Source organism: Homo sapiens, chromosome 15, assembly GCF_000001405.40.
Source record: "Homo sapiens chromosome 15, GRCh38.p14 Primary Assembly".
Classification (NCBI taxonomy): Eukaryota; Metazoa; Chordata; class Mammalia; order Primates; family Hominidae; genus Homo; species Homo sapiens.
Window position 1 is genome coordinate 88,144,309 of NC_000015.10, and position 17,711 is coordinate 88,162,019.

The following is a 17,711-nucleotide window of genomic DNA, read 5'->3' on the forward strand; positions in this document are numbered from 1 at the left end:
AAGAGGTACGCCCCCCTGGACAGAGGGGAAGCTGTGAGTCAGGGGCTTGGCCAAGACCATCTCCCTCATCCCACAAAAATAAATGAGAGAAAGTAGAGGAAGGGTCTTGGTGCACTGCAGGAACTCTGAGATGGTAACTTGTTTGTTTTTTTTTCCTTTGATTCCACTCAAGGGACCCGACATCTTGAGAGGGGCTTCTGGAAGGAGAGGCCGAGCATGTAGGGTGTGTTGCTTGAGTCAGGTAAGAGAAACAGCCTGGTCTTTGGAAACAGCAGATCGGGGTAGTGATAATATTAAACATCATAACACTCATTCCCAGATATACCACTTACTAGCCATGTGATCTTGAACTACCTGTTTAACTTAGCCGAGCCTCAAATCCCTCATTTGTAACACTGGTCACACTGCTACCTCCCTGTAGGATTGTTCCAAGGATAAGACAGAACCTCACACACATTAGATGCTCAAGATGTGCCTCTTCCTTCTCCTTCTGCCCTACTGGAAAAGTCATGGACACTCAGCCCTTCCATTCTTACAGCAAGGATCCTCTACTGGGCGAGGGGCTGGTTGGGGTACAGCAGAGGTCCTTAGTGACAGAAAGAAACATGTTAAGGAATTGCTGCACACCCTCTGCCCCTTCTGTCCCTGCAGAGGGTCACTTAAACCTCACACTTCTGGCCTGTGGCTTTCCTGGCTCCACAACACACTGAGCCCTTTCTCCTCCAGGGCCAAAATTCTTTCTTCCTGGAAATACACAACCCATCCCCACGCCCCAGCCCACAGGCTCCATCGAGCAGACCCTGGCAGTCTAGATGGCTCATGGCAGATGGCGCCATGTGGACTAATAAGGAAGTCAGACAAGAAAATACTACCCCCTCTTCCATTTGCCAGGAACTGGGATTGTTTGGATTTTAATCATAACCACAGCTAAGAGCCAACACGCGGCCCCTCCAGCCAAAAGATGAATTTTCCTCTCCCAAGATTCAATTCTTCTTCAAAAAATAGACCCCTACCAGGGTGATTGCTCCTTAGAGGGGGGCTTCTTTATTCTCCAATATGATTTTTTTCTTAGTTAACAATATGACAGAAATAAAACACACCATGGACATGGTGGTACTCACACACTGACTCACACTGGAGGGAATGTCTTCATTCCTCCATAAGTCACATCTAACTCACTGGTGTATTGATCCCAGGCAAAGATGAATGCAGAATCCCATGATCCTCTGGGAGAAATCTGACATTTTCTTTAAATATATATCCACGGAACAACTGTTTCTAAAACTCCACGTAACAGGTCACCAGGGCAGCAGCACACCATTGATTTCACATCCAATAATTTTTTAGAAAGAGCACTGAACATTTTCTCAATAATTCAGCCAACAGCAGACCCCCTATGTCCCCTGGAGAGATGCCATCCCTGGCCTCCTGAGATGAAGGGACTACGGGTTCCAGAATAATTACATGCAAGACACCCAAGAAAGAGATCCCCCAAGGCCCTCAGTCAGTTCTAGGGTAACTTAAGAAAGACCACAATCATGTGTTTTTTTTAAAATTATGGTAGAATAGATCCTTGTGTTGGAAACAGACTGAAAACACTGGGAGATAGTTGAGCACAGTGGTCAAAGCTTTGGGTCCACACACTGCCACTATTCAGTGAGTGACCTTAAACAGTATACTTAACCTTGCTAAGCATCTCAGTGTCCTCCAAAGTGAAGTGATAGTAATAATTCCTACCTTAAGGAATTGCCATAAGGATTAAATTAAATTAAGTATACAACTTAAGAGATTGCTTGGCACAATGCCTGGCACAGAGGAAGAACTCAGAAATCAGTGTTAGTAGTAAATCGTAGTAGTCATGTTAATTTACCTTTTCCACCTACAGTACACAAGGTCATCATGGGGTGATAGGCTACTGGGATGCTTGATGTAAAGCATCAAGAGCTGGGTCTGAAAAGGTAAGGTTTTGATGCATCCATGAAGTCAGGTCTTGCTAGGTGAAGGGAAAACAAGTTGAAAGGCCAACAGCATAGGCAGAGGTCCAAGGTCATTGCCTCTTGGTAAAGAGAGTAAAGCAATCAGCATTCAGTGAATTTGGATCTGCGTCACCAAGTAAGAGGGAACACATGAGCGGTGTCTCTGGAACCCTGACTCCCTAACTTGATCCATGCCTCAATTCCTTTTCAATTTATTCCTTGATTTATACCCTCAACATAATATGATGTCCTTCATGCACAGAGATGACCCCGATGAATCACTCATCAACATGAGTTATTTTTTCCAGCAGTGGTCACGAATGTTCACTCATTTGGCCTTCCTTTGTTTGTGCAGAATGGCTGGCTGGGATAGGGGTGCCCTGATCAGCCTTGGACCACAGCAAAGCTAAGCAGTCCACATGCAGATTGAAAAAATATATGGCCTCCCCAAACCCCTTGACATGCCAGTACTCAAGTCAAATAAGCTGAAGAAGATTATGAGTGGTGAAAAGACATGTAACTTGAAGTCAAAAGGTGTGGGTTCAAGTCCCAGCTTGGCTAGGCCCTAGAAATGTGATCTTAGTTGAGTCTCACGTGTCTTTCTAAGCCTCAGAATCCTCACCCATAAAATGCAGAGAATAATAATATCTACCTCTTATGACTCTTATGATGATAAATCTAAAGTTATATAAATGAAAGCATGCCTAATAGTCTATAAAGTTATATATTATGAATGTGATTTATTATAAATTCTTTATTATAAGTATTTATACTATTATAACTAATTATCTACAGATCACAAAACTAAGTCATAATAAAAGAAGAGACTCCTGTCTTCTGAAATAGATTGTGCCCAGAAAGAGCATCCGAAGTCAAGCAAAAGGGTTAATTGCTCTCACTGAACATGGTACACTCTGTGTCAACCAACCCAAGTAGGCTCTTCGAGTAGATGTATGCTCAGCCTTCAGGTGGTTCCACTGCTTGACACTCCTCCCCATCCACCCATTACCAGCACTTCAGTACCTGGACAGTCTTCAAAACCAAACTTACAATTCCCGAAGACTCAGCGTCTGGAAGAGCTGCCACGAGAGTGTGGTGAGCCGGTTACTTGACAGGTTTCTGCAAGATTGACAAATAAAGGGAAATTTTAAAACAAGTCTGGCACAAATAATGCTCTAGGTAGTAAGCTTAATCATTTCACTGGAGCCTGGCTTTGTTTTCCTTCTTCTTCTTCTTCTTCTTCTTCTTCTTCTTCTTCTTCTTCTTCTTCATGCTGTTAGGCTAGCGATACATCTGCTAATAGCTGAGGGCATAGATCAGGTTTGGATAGGCTTTTGAGGCCTTTTAAAGGGCAAGATTTTACAAATCAAAGAAACCATGAAATTCTCATGGTCATTCTTCCATATCCCCTCCCCACAATAAAAGTTTACAGAGCCTTTATGAAGCCATCCTTCTCTAAGAGGACAGGGAGTTCTCAGAGTAGATAAGCCCACTAGCATTCTTAACACGCACACAGGTCAAAAAACTCTGCAGGTCACCTACAATTCCTTTTAGCCAGTGTCTCTCCCAGCAAACATGCCCACCAATGATCAAGACATCAGCCTTTTGTTCACACGTCTGTTCTCCTCCTAATGGCTATTTAATTGTTCTCATTAGGATGTACAGGGGAAAGGAGCAGCCATTAGTCTTCTGGATAAAAGAAGAAACACGCCCACGGTTATTACTTTGCCAGGCTCAACAAACAACTTTTGATGTGATAACAGCCCTTAAAGGCAGCAGTTAGACACTGCTAGAATTGAAGTGGCATCCCAGGAACAATGTACTCATCTACTGATGGGAACAAATGGCAGTGCTGATTCCATTTAGGTAAATATCTATCCACACAAACACGATGTGTGTATACTTGTGTCTATTAAACATGTAGGTACTAAAGGCAAACACAGACTCTTGTTTATACACACACATATGCTTACACACGCACCTATATTTGGATGACTTCTACAACAAATATTTATTGAGGCTACACTGACGAATGAGGGAGTTGACCATTGAGGGGGAAGGGAAGTTCCCTCTGGAATCTTATATTCAAGTTACAGATGAATAAGCAGAAGGAAGAGTATCAACACCGTGATGTAAGTAACTGATACAGGAGTGCGGAGGGCTCAGAGAGAGGTGCCTTCTGAGAAGGTAGCATCAGGCCTGAGCCAAGAAGAAGAAAGAGCTGAGTACCAAGGGAGGAGTGTTTCAGGCAGTGAAAGTAGCAAGTGTCAAGGCCTGAGAGATCCAGAGGACCAGGAAGGAAGCCAGTCAGGAAGTAGTGAGGAGTGCTTTGGGATAAGGGGGAGAGGCATTCACGCCACACTTGCTGGCCATGGGGAGGAGTTTGGATTTGATATTAAAGAGTGGTGGGAAGGCACTGGATGGTTCTCAGCAGAGAAGTGACCTAGTCTAATTACCATTTTAAAAAATAGAAGACCAAGACTGGAAGTTGGCAGGCCAGCTAGGAAGCTGCTACAGTCTTCCAACCAAGAGAAGGGAGTGGAGATAATCAAGTGGATGGATTCAAGATAGGTGTTAGAGGTAGAGCTGCCAGGATTTCTATTGGATTGGATTTTGGAGAGGAGAGAAAGAGAAGTGAGTGGCCAGGTAAATGGTGACATCATTGAGTAGAACGAGAAAGCCTGCCAAAGGATCACATGGAGGCGATGGGATAGAGACCTTCCCCTTGCAAATATGAAGTTTGACACACTGTTAGCTATCCAAAGAGATAAGTCAAATTGCCTGCTGGATTCCTGGGTCTAGAGCTCATGGGAGAGGTTGGGGCTGGGTAAGATCACATAGGGAGGGAGTCCACCCAGTTCATAACAGTACCAGACACTAAAATACAAGAACAACCAAAGGGACATGGCTTTCCCTTCTCATTGGACGCAGCCCTCTTTGGTGCAGTGGCTTGGTTCCACCCCAGCCTGAACTGGCTAGGTCCCTGAGATGGCCCATGACTGTGCAGAGGAGGCAGCCTCATGCTGGGGGTGCAGGGTACTGGAGGAGAAGGGAAAGAAACATAGGTAGATGTCTCCCAAGTTTACTGTTCTGCTGTCTTCCCTGTACCCAGTACCCTCTCTGTTCAGAGTTTTTAAGCCTCTAGGATAGTCCCCATGGCCCTACACTGTCACCAACCGCCTCTCTGCAAGGCTGAGACCTCTGGTATGACAGCACATGCTCACTAAAAGCCTATACACCTAAGCCATCCATCATGCTCAGCTCCACAAAACCCCTAATGACTATACAGCTTATTCCTACAAACTTCCACTGTTCCCCCACCGATCAGAAAGGTGTGATAAAAGAAGAACTGCAGTGATGACCACCTGAGGACACCACCTGGGGCAAAGCCCCATGCAGCAGCCCAGCTCCTGCTCAGAAGGGTGGAGCTGGAGACCAGACACACACTCCCACTGAGTCACTAACCACACCCTATTAGACCAGGAGTTCGAACTTGGGGTTCAGGACAACAGGATTTGGTACTGCTCTGAGTCTCCATTGCCACTGGCCTTTATGAGGTTTTATTAAATCTAAGTGTTTGATTCATCTAGGTAGAAATCTTCTGTTTTGCTCTATTTTGCCTGGTTTACTCTATGCACAACAGCATCACGGCAGCAAAAGCTGGACAAGCCCCCAGCTTCCAAATCCATGAGGTAATCCCTGCGGCACTTTGGGAAGATGTCCGTCCCCTGCCTTTAGCTCCCTACCCCTCTCCAGTGCCTCCCTGAACAAAACCCATGGTTCTGAAGCTGAGCAGCTGCATCCAATGGGCAGTTGGTAGCCAGAAAGCTCAGACTTATTGAGCCCTGAAGAACATGCCCCTGGTAAGGTACAAAAGCAACTGGTGGGAACTAGCAGGCCAGGAGACAGGAGCAGTCCAGGTGAAATGGGCAGCCCTGCCCATCTCAGAGGGAGGAGCAGGCAGGGAGCCTGCCAGGAGTCCTGGGGAACCCGAGGCAGAGAGCAGGCTGCCAGCGATGTCCTCTCACAAAGGTCATGCTTTGCTACATTAGGCAGAAATGTCAAAAGAAAATTGGATTCTGAAAGAAAGAAAATAACAGACATTCTGGGCAAATAAAGACTAAGAAATAGCATTATTGCCTTATTACAAGTCAGAGGAAGGAGGGGTCCTGGGACCCCTGTTAAGGGGGAAGTGGGCTCCTACTCTCCCAGGGCTGCCTTGGCTTCATCTCCCCCTTGCCCCTCCCCCACCCATCAAGCCCCACCTGGATTCCTCCCGCTCTTTGGGTGGATGGAATGGCTGAAGCACTCATGTGATCTGCCCACAGACACAGACAACCCAGTGCCTGTTTGCAGAGCCTGGAAACTGTATTGCACAAGTTCAGGGAGGGTTGCAGTGTGCACAACCCTTGCAACTGTACACAATGCCCTGCCAGACACACAGTAGAAGCACCAAGCCCCAGAAAAAAACTTATACAAAAAGACAAGAGATAAGGCAAACATATACACACCACAAAACAAGCAGAGCATGCCTCTGGCCACCCTGCCCTCACCGGCATTGATAAATTCTCATAGCGCAGGGTAAATAAACAAGCTTCTGTATGAGTTGCCACCCACTCGGAACTCATTGCCCCTGATTTTTCCTTCTAGCTGGGGCCTCACCTATATGCACCTGTCATCAATTATTGATGAGCTGGTTACCCTGCTCATCAGACAAGAGTTTAATTAAGAACACCCTGCCTCTGAGCCCCACGGCAGCCTTTTCTGTGGGCCTCCTCCCTAATAGATCCATTATCACCCGTCTCTGACTTTTGCTTGGGTCAATGGCCAGTTTCCAAGCCATCTGACCATTGAATTAATTTGGTGAGCAAGATTTTACGAGATGATGCATCAAACTCTTCCGCAAAATCAAGTTCCGTGACACTGCCCCTTCTATCTCTCGCCTGAGACTACCAAACAAAGCCATTAATTTTGTGCTGCAAAACTGGCCCTCTCACAGACCAGACTCTGGGGTCCAGAGGTAGTAAACAATGATGATGTGGCTACTGGGTGCTCCGGGAACAAGGAGCCAGACACACAGATGGCTGAACCCTGGGCCCTGAGGAACGACAGAGCTGAGATGTCACCTCTGGCATTAACCCCATAATGAACAGGGGTCCTCCCAGGCAACCTCTCCTCTGACCAGTAGAAACCTAAGCACAGTAAGCAGTCCTATGACCTTCCTAATGGTGGCACCCAAGTATGGCAGGAATAGAGCCCACAAATGGGGAGGATTTCATCTTCTACCCTGGGAAACCTACTGTTACAAAAGGGTCAATAAGACGGACCCTGTTGCCAAGAGAAACCAACCAGATGAGTCCCTCTGTTGCCCCTTTGGGGGTTGAGAGTTGAGGAGACATTAAGCCCCATCCAAAAAGTGGTCCTGAAGATGGAAGGATTTGTGGATTTCCTGGATTAAGAGTTGGGCTGACATTTGGAAGCACCTCCTCTTCTACTGGTAGAGGCAGGCTAATGGGCAGGTATGTCTTAGGATTTGCATGTGTAAGGGATTGCTGGTGGCAGGTCCTCTGCGTCTCTGAGCTATTAAACCAGACTGCCTCACCTGTGTACTCCCACTCCAGCTCCTGGATGCTCACTCCACCTCCACACCTCCTTGGTCCCTCTCACTTGAGTGTTTTCTGTTGTAATGTACTGAATTTCATTCCTTCAAAATTCGTTTTTAAAATCCTTACCCAGCCGGGCGCCGTGGCTCACACCTGTAATCCCAGCACTTTGGGAGGCTGAGGCAGGTGGATCACCTGATGTCAGCAGTTTGAGACCAGCCTGGCCAACATGGTGAAACCTCATCTCTACTAAAAATCCAAAAATTAGCTGGGTGTGGTGGTGGGCGCCTGTAATCCCAGCTACTTGGGAGACTGAGACAGGAGAATCGCTTGAACCCAGGAGGTGGAAGTTGCAGTGAGCTGAGATTGCGCCATTGCACTCCAGCCTGGGCAACAAGAGTGAAACTCCATCTCAAAACAAAACAAAACAAAACAAACAAACAAAATCCTAACCCCCATTGTGTCTGTATTTGGAGATGGGATTTTTAAAGACCTAATTAAAGTTAAGTAAGGACATATGGGTGGTCCTTAATCCAATATGACTAGTGTCCTTATAAGAAGAGAATTAGGACACAGACATAAAGAAAAGATGTAAAGTCACAGGGAGGAGAAAATGGCCATCTACAAGTCAAGGAGAGAAGCCTCAGAAGAAATGAGCCCTGCCAATGACACTTTGATCTTAGGCTTCTAGCCTCCAGAACTGTGAGGAAATAAATTTATGTTGTTTAACCCACCCAGACTGTGGCATTGAGTTCTAGCAGCAATTGCAAATTAATACACCTGTTCTCGGCCCCTCATTTGCCCTGAGGCCTTAACGGCCAAGTTGGCTGCCTCACTGTGATCCCTGAAAGCCTCCAAGTCATGGTTTTCTGTCACCCCCTTGCTCTGTCTATGCTTGGTGGCTCCAGGGAACCAGCCTCCCAATCAGGTTCCAGCCACTAAGATCTAATCTGGTATCTGCCCACTTGCCCACCCCCTGGGTGTACTCCAGCCTCCTCCTGCAAAAAGATTATTAAAAGAGATAACAGACAACCAGGGGCATACTCAGTTTGCATCCCAGACATAAATGCCACAGTCACTGACTCTTCCTGGAGGATTCATTCTGCTGCTTGCAGAAAGGCACTCTTTTGAGCACCGTTTGGTCTTGGTGCATCCAGCACAGCTAACCAGAAAACAATGAATGTCCAACCCCTCCCAATCCTGCAAGCTCCCAGGGTCTGTGACTTGCTGGCTGCAATCATTATGGTGCAAATCTTATTTCTTTCATCCACAAAGACAGCATTTTGAAAGGTGCAATTCCCTCTTTCTTAAGATCTAACATCATCAAGTATCTATCCCTTTTCTTCTTTATTTTTTGTTTTTTATTTTTTTTGAGATGGAGTTTCACTCTTGTTGCCCAGGCTGGAGTGCAATGGCATGATCTCGACTCACTGCAACCTCCGCCTCCCGGGTTGAAGCGATTCTTCTGCCTACGCCTCCCGAGTAGCTGGGATTAAAGGCATGTGCCACCACTCCCAGCTAATTTTTTGTATTTTTAGTAGACACTAAAAATACATGCGGTTTCTCCATGTTGGTCAGGCTGGTCTCAAACTCCTGACCTCAGGTGATCCACCTGCCTCGGCCTCCCAAAGTGCTGGGATTACAGGTGTAAGCCACTGTGCCCAGCCTCTTTTTTTTCACTATGAAAGAGATATCTCCTTGGTTTTTGCTGTAATCCATTCATGGTGCTATAACAAAATACCATATACTGGGTGGCTTATAAACAATAGGAATTTATTTCTTAGTTCTAGAGGTTAAGAGGTCCAAGATCAATGGGGCAGCAGATTCAAGGATCCACCTCCTCAGAGACAGATGTCTTCTCATTTAAATCTCACATGGTAGAAGGGGCTAGCTAGCTCTCGGGGGCCTCTTTTATAGAGCACTAATCTCATTCATGAGGGCTCTGCCCCCATGATCTAATCACCTCCCAAAGGCCCTGCCTCCTAATACCATCATCTGGAAGGGGAGGACTTCGATATACGAATTTTGGGGGCACATAAATATTCAGATCATAGCAATCATCTTGGAGACCATCAGGCCCTTCTCATGACACACCATACCAGGATTCTTTTGATTTTGCTGAAGAATCTGCAAGAAAAGAGTGCTGTTCTAGACCAGAACTAATTAAGAATCTGCAAGAAAAGAGAATTCCCTGATGCAGCACCAAGCCCACATAGACTTTGCAAAAAAAAAAAAAAAAAAGAACAAACCACAGAAGGATGAAACTAGCAGCCTACTGCCCACTTCTCCAAGAGCCAGGGAACCTACACCTCCTCAGTCTTGACCCTGTGACTACTTCTGTGCACCATCAGCTCCACACCAGAGGTATCTGCAGCCTACCACCAAAGGAGCTGTTAGGGGGCTGCCGCCAGCCTCCTTGGGTTGAAGCAGTGGGAAGGAAGGAGGCACCATATAATCTTGTCACCAAGGCCTGCTGCCAGCACCAAGGAGGGCCCATGAGCCAACCCCTTAAAATCTAATGCCTATGACAAGGAAGCAACTGCTGCCGCCCAACATTCTTCTTGAAGGCCAAGAAATATTTTCCTACATCATTGATATATTTGCTTTTCCCTCAATTAAATTGCTGTAAAATGGGGTGGGGTTTAAAGCCATCTGAGCCATTTTTATTCAGTTAAATTACACTGGATGGCTCATTTAATGAACTTTAATGAAGTCAAAATGCTTTCTCTAATCAAATCTCAACTGACGTGACTGGTGTCTTGACCTTAGCTCAGGAGACTGGAGGCAACTTTTTCTGTGCAGCCTGTTATGGGCTCTACCAGGGTTTCCCAGAGCGTGTTCCTGGAATCTGAGGTCTGCAATATGTTCATGGGTATTTCAAGGGGAAAAAGATCATATTGCTTGAAAATTGTATTAAAATTAAGCATGCTTATTTACTGCAGAACTTCTCAGAGCTTTTACTGTAAGAGAAGGACCTGGCAAACTGTGTCTCTCAAACTTACTGGAGCATAGAATCTTCTCCATGGAGTGTCTAGCCAAAAAATACCCACATAACATCCTTAGAGAAATGTTCTCTAAGCCAGGGGTCAGCAAGCTAGAGCCTGTAGGTCGGCAGTCTGTTTTTATAGTTCTACCAAAACACAGCCATGTCCATTTGATTATGTGTTGTCTACGGTCATGTTCCAGGCAGAATAATGGTATCCACATCCAAATCTCGAGAATCTGTGAATAGGTTAACTTACACCGCAGAGGTGATTAAGCATATAGACCTTGAGATCAGGAAGTTATCATGAATTATCCCATGGTCCCAAGGTAATCATAAGGGGCATTAAAGGTAGAAGAGGAAGGCAGAGAGAAAGTAGGGACCCATGTGACTAATGAAGGAAAGCACAAAGACATTCAATGTTGCTGGCTTTGAAGATGGAAGAGGGGGCCACAAGCCAAGAATGTGAGTGACCTCTAGAAGCTGGAAGAGGCAAGAAAACCCATTCATCCATTCTCCCTTAGAGCCTCCAGAAAGAAATGCTGACCTCCCTACACTTTGACTGTAGCCTGATGAGACCCATGTTGAATTTCTGGGTGTAAGGCAATAAATTTGTGTTGTATTACGTCACAAACTTTGTGTTAATTTGTTACAACAGCAATGAGCAACTAATAGGGCCACTTTCACATTACAAAAGCAGAGGTGAGCAATTGCAACAGAGACCAAAATATTTACTATGTGACCCTTTTCAGAAAAAGTGTGACAACCCCTTGTCTAGAACAGTACTCTCCAGTATAGATATAATAAAAGACACAAATACCACGTGAAATTTTCTGTTAGTCACATGTTAAAGAGTGAAAAGAGGTGAAAGTAATTGCAACAATATGTTACTTAACCCAATATATCCAAAACATCAATTCAACTTGTAATCTATCATCTATCTATCTATCTATCTATCTATCTATCTATCTATCTATATAAATGAGGTATTTCACATTCTTTTTTGTACTAAGTCTTTAAATCCATATGTGCTTCACTCTCAGAGCTCATCTCAATTTGAATTGGCCACATTGCAAGTGCTTGATAGCCATGAGTGGCCAAAGGCTACCATATTAGAAGACACGGCTCTGGACCATCTGAAAAATCCAGACATTGCCTGAAGTCCCCAGTAGAGAGAAGCAGTCAACAGGTAGAAAACTGTCATTATAAGTTCTCCAAAGGAATGTCAGGTTTTCTTTCCCCAGATGTCAATCCATCCCAGAATCCAGCAGTCACATAGTTTGTTTTATGAGAAGGAAATCACTCCAGTTGTCCCAGAGCACAGTGCAACATCACTGAGTAGCTGCCAGCATCCTCTCAGGCTGGAGCTCAGAGCAGGAAGGAAAAGAGAGGTGAGCACTTGCCATGTGCTGAGGAGGTGGAGAAGGACCGTGGCACATGGGAGACCAGATATGGACACAGAGAACTGGACTCTTCCAGAATGCTTGGCCCACCTAATCAAGTCCAAACTCCACCTCAGAATTCAAGTACTTCCACAAAATGACATCAGCCTCCTGTTTCCATATATTCTCTCACTACCCACCTCCTTCCCCCATCCTTCAGCCCCTCCCCCTAGCTAACCCTAAAAACCTACCTGGGACAAAATGGCATCGCCCTGTTGGCTGCACCCTTAGAGCTAGCTCCCTGGCACTTCTCCTGCTCCACACCACCGCACCTTTCATGCCCTTCTCCCCACCCTGCAAGCACAGTGTGAGTGGTTCTCTCTGCAGACGGCTAGCACCACCCACTCTAAAATCTTCTTTCCCTCCGCTTTCTCCCACTGCATTTTTCTTGGGCCTCGACTGTCACAGCCTGCGTCTCAGACTGCTGGCCTGGAGTGACAGCTGTGCCTGTGTTGGCCTCCCACCAGGTTGCTTTTCTTGAAGACAACCTTTTCTTTTTCAGTTTTATTTTCTTTATAGCACCTGGAACCCAGTAAGTGCTCAAAGAACGTATGGAAAGTTCAACGGAAGACCCACAAAACTCTTTCATCTGAAGGGACCTAAAACCAACCTGAGTTTCTAGGGACACTGGAAGGAAGCATTTCTTTCTACACAGCAACCACAGTGCACAAAGAGACTCTGCAGAGACCTCAGCAGAAAAAGGCCTAGGGACAAAGACAATCCTGTACCCTGCAGGGTGCGGCTTCTGCTCCTCCCACTGCCCTCCTCCACCCACCTGTCCTGGGACCTCTTTCTGTCCCTGTGAAGCCAACTTCTACACTGCTATGAACTCACACAGCCATTGCGCAGCCAAGCCAGACTCTCCCAGTGGGTGTCAAGAGGATGAAGGCGCTCTCGCTCCCTCTTCTTCCCTCTCTCACACACACACACCACACTACACACCATACCACGCACACATATTCAAACATACACACTTATCCCCACAGCTGTCTCCGTCTGGCTCCACCAAGAAACACACTGAGAACTCTTCTTAGGGGGTCTGAGGAGCTCTGCCTCTTTGACCCCTCCCTGCCTCTCAAGGACATTTGGGTTTCTGCCCTTCAGGATCCCCGTCCCTTCTGGTCTGTGCTGCCTCGGCAGGGCCCATCCTGCCCTGGCCTCTTGATGGGAACACGTGTGGAGCCGAGCAGGACCAGGAGCTGACTCTGTGAGCCCAGGTCCCAGAGCCAGCAGCCCTTCCCTGTTCCCTCCAGTAGGCATGCTTTTCTCGGTGTCAGCACAAACCTTCACGTCTCTGCGCTGAGGAGCACACTCAGAACCTCGCAGAACATGGGGGAACAGTGGGGAGCCCTCAGCCCACCTCCCTTGGCCTACACGAGGGACGCCGAGACTGTGAGATCCAGGAGGACTTGGGAGAGGAGATAACTTGTTTGTGTCACCAGGCAAGTCACTGTTGGAGCCAGGACCCGGAGTCCTGGATTCTGACTACGGGAGAGGAAAATGGGGATCCCAGAGGTTAAGCCAGTTCCCAAGATGACCCAGCTGGATGGTAGCAGAGGCTGGTAGCTGGCACCAGGGTTCCTGATACTCAAACCAGGGCAGCTGAGGGATCCTCCCCTCTTGGCCAATCTTGGCTACAGGAGTGACTTCTGATCCTTAGTGTTGCAGGATGGGTAAGGTCATGGCCTTTGGCACCTCACGGGCCCGGGTGCCGGTCCTACCACTGCTGCCTCCATGCCCTGTGACTCTGCGTGAGTTACTTCACCTCTCTGTACCTCAGTTTGCTCATCTGGAAGTTGGGAATAATAATAGGGCATGTCCACTTGAGCTGTGGTGAGGATTAAATGGGGTATGGACGGCAGCTGACACAGTGCCTCATCCTCAGTGGGCACTCAGTGAACATGCTCTGTCACTGTTTCTGCCCATTGCCAGTCACCACCGAAGCCACAACGCGCCCACGCCATTAAAACAAATACAGGAGGTCCAGGTGGTGACCCCTTGAATTCAGGCATCATTGTATTCAGTAAAGTCTGAGTTCACAAGGCAATATAGAGACCTGCTGTAACAAGACAGCAGGCAGCACCTGCTCCCCTAGGGTTGGGCTGGTGCTGGTGTGCTGCCTCCTGCAGCCCACCTAGCAGATGCCTGGGCAGGGCCTGAGGTCCAGGGAAAATGCGGTCCTCACCCTGAGGTCTATTGGCCACCTGCATCTGGGTCTCCGCTGCAGCACAAGGCCACCAAAGGCCTTAAAATCTGCTGTGTTTCTTCATGTTGTCTGCTTTGCACCAGACCTTGAGTGTTATTGAAACTATTCTGCGGGGTGGGTGGGCATTGCTCCTTGGGAGTTTCTTTTCAGATAAATTAACCTAAGGCTAATTACCCTGAAGCATGTGAGCTCTCTCTGGAGTCCCAGGTGGGCGCTGCCAGGCAGATGCTGGGCCTTTTCACCCGGGATCCACCACCCGGGGAGGTGGAGGCCAGGCCTGGCGTGGGAGCTGACTACCCCAGAGAGGCGCCAGCACATGATGTGCTGATGTGCCCAAGACATCACACTCATTTTTACTCAAGAGCTGTCATGACAAGAGAAAAAAAAAGACGCAGAAAGCATCTGTGGGAAAAATCAAGAACCCCTTGCAGCTACTGACTAAAAGCAAAGCAAGGGATAGAGAGGGAGAAGGGAACAGAGGTACAGCTGCAGGCCAAGCCCCCGGGCTGAGAGAGAGCTGCCCAGGGCGGGCACTGTCAGGGCTGGAGAAGCCAGGGTCCCCAAAGGCTGGTGGGAGCCTGCAGGGGCAAGAGTGCTAAGCTGCTCTGAGGAAGCACATTCCTGTTCATTACTTTTTAGCCAGGCCAGACAACAGTCCCCTTTCTAAGAGCTACTATTCAGATTAAAGGAAAATCTATGACTCTCTTAAAAACAACAAAACTGTGAACAGAAAGCTGCTCTGGGCCTTTTCATAAAGAAATCTGATTAGGCCAACGCTGCATCCAATCCCTCCTCCAAGATAAGAGGTTAGAGGGAACACAAGCCAAGTGTGGATTTGAGAAAGCATTGAGGGGAGAGGTTCTCCCATTCCGGGTATCAGAATCACCTGGAGGCTTGGAAAAACCAAATTACCAGGCCTCCTGAGTTTCTGATTCAGCAGGCCTGGAGAATTTGCTTTTCTAAGAGGTTCCCTGGGTGACATTGATGTTGCTGGTTTGGGAACCACACTTTAAGAACCACTGATCTGGTGAAATTTTGTTTTCCCCATGGGCAAGTTGACTTTGGCTCCAATCAAATCCCTCTGCCCTAAAGAAGTAGACAATCGTATATGCACATATAAGGAAATGAAAGAGTCATGTGAGCAGATGAAAAGAGATGCCCTGTCAGGGAGCCGAGGGATGCCTGTGCAGGCTCCTGGGAACAAATGCCATTGTTAATAACCACATAGGGGAATTCACAATCCCCTCCTGGAACTTGATGGAGAATCTCCAATGGGGACGTGCCCCTGGCTGGTCCAGGGCAGGGCCATCACAGCACTGCACATTGACTAAAGGGAGGTCCCTGCTGCCCAAAGTGCCTCCTACACCTGCTTCCTGCACTCAATTACAAGATGAATCTGTGCCTCCCCACCCCACCCAGCCTCCTACACACACACACACACACACACACACACACACACACACACACACACACACATTGCTTGAACTTCATGCCTGGTGAGCCTAGAGGACGACAGAGGCTAGAAACCAGAGAAAGTGAGAGGGGCAGTGAGGGTCCCGGGATGAGTGGAGATGGTCCCAAAAGAGAGCAGAGGAGAAAACAGGACTCGGACGAGAGCATCCAAACCAATGAGTGAGACCCAAAGCTGGAGCTGGGGAACCCAGAGGAAGGAGGGGCGCCCCAGCCATGGTCAAGGGGGTGCTGCTGAGCAGAGAGAGGGAAGAGACGAGCACGTAGCAACAGGCCAGCCAGAGCCACACTCAAGGAGTCACAGCTGTGCCTAGGCCCACTGAGGGACCCATACCCCTGGTTGCCTGAGGATGGGGAGCCCTTGAGGCTACAGGATGAGCTAAGAAGCAGAGACCTTAGCTTAGTGCCTGAGGTAGTGTCCTAGAGGCTTGGGGCAGAGTCAGCGGCTAGCGTCAAAGGGTTCACTAAGGCTGCTCTCTGGAGTGGCCAGCGCAGAAGAGTGGGGGCTTTGCTGACAGCTCAGACCTCCTGCCCTGCCCCTTTTCCAGAGTAGATCCTGCGCATGTAAAAAGCCATAGCTGGACTTCCTCTGCCCCACTTCTAGCAGGGTCCAGGAGGACATGTGAGCACACCATTGGCCTTTAGGGGCCTTCTCCCCTAGGGGTGTCCAGAAGACTCAACCCTGGGGATCACGTGAGGAACAAGGTAGCAGACCCACTTTTAGGACCAAGTCAATGGGCAACTGACAGTGGAGAAAGCCCCATCCAAGTGTATGATGGAGAAGCTCATTCTTTCCTTAGCACACTACTCTGGAAGGGAACAGTGGCTGTGTGGGTTTGGAAAAGCATTTAGGGGAGAGGTAGGCAATGGTTTTCGAAGATGGGCTAAGCTGTCAGCTCTGACCCTCCTGAGTTGTGGGACCTGCCCTGAGAAAGTTATTTAATCTCTCTGGACCTCAGATTCTTCATCTTGACCATGCAAGTCCTAATAATATCAGCCTTATGGGGCAATTCTAAAGATCAAGATAAATTAATGCATGTCAAATGCCCAACACAGTGCTTAGCACATAGCAGGTACTCAATGCATGGCTGCTGGGGTCACAGAGGTATTTGAGGTGGTAATAGTAATAGCAGCTAACAAACATGGTGATTGCTCTTGGCCAGCTATCTTTAAGGGTTTTGCATATAAGAGTTCACTTAAATATTGCAACAACCCTATGAGAGATATGCTACTATCATCATTATCATCATCTCTGTTTTACAGAGAGGAGATTACAGAGCAAGTGAGTTAGACAACTTGCCCTGGGTCAGTAGCTGCTGTGTGGGGGAAGCCAGGGATTGAACCCCAGCAGTCTGGATGCAGAGTCTGTGCCCTTTACTACCTGCTAGCATTAGCAGGAGGGGCTACGTTACTAGGGCCCTGTCTCCTGTGCTCCTAGCGATCACTGCCTGTCACCACCACTAGGACAGGATCCTACGATTCTTAGGTAAAATTTGGAAAGCCTTCCTCACCCCCAGGTCTGGAAAGACTTGAAGTTCTGGTCACTGAGAGGGGAATTGGAGTCCAATTTTTCACTGTGTTCCCTGGACTAACTGGGACCATGTGTGACAGCCATAAAAAATGGAGACCCATCCACTAGCATGGAGGAGAGCATAGGGAAAGGCATGGAGAGAGGTCAACCAGAAATGAGCTACATACTCCAGGCAGGGAGAGGTCTTGTAGAGTGATCACACAGTGACAAATCAGGGCTGGAGCATCCTAGAGCCCCTCTCCAGGAGGGATTTGGGCAGGAGATCCCAGCTGAACAAACATGCTGAGCTGCTCATGAGTCCCACAGAGGTCGGCCTTTTGGTGGGACTGCATCGTCCTGGGGGGCTGGGCATATTCAGGAGCTGGCAGGGATTTTTTACCACAAGCAATGCATTCCTGCTTCTAATCTGCCCTCCAGCTGCTGAGGAATCCCCTCTGTGTACATCAGAGCAAAATGGAAGAGCAAAATGGAAGCACAATAAAGAAAGATGGGGAAGACAG

At 47.7% G+C, this 17,711-nt stretch overlaps 1 protein-coding gene across 32 annotated transcripts in view; it reads right to left on the reverse strand.

The window, feature by feature from the left end:
* The window catches only part of NTRK3 (neurotrophic receptor tyrosine kinase 3), a 396,989-nt gene that overhangs the window by 284,558 nt on the left and 94,720 nt on the right, over positions 1-17,711 (reverse strand). For all 32 annotated transcript variants that reach the window (XR_001751292.3, XR_002957645.2, XR_001751293.3 and 29 more), the window contains 1 exon segment: positions 3,027-3,095. Coding sequence is in view for 29 of the 32 variants with exons in the window: in NM_001243101.2 (NP_001230030.1) it covers positions 3,027-3,095 (69 nt within the window). In the remaining 3 variants the exon portion in view is untranslated.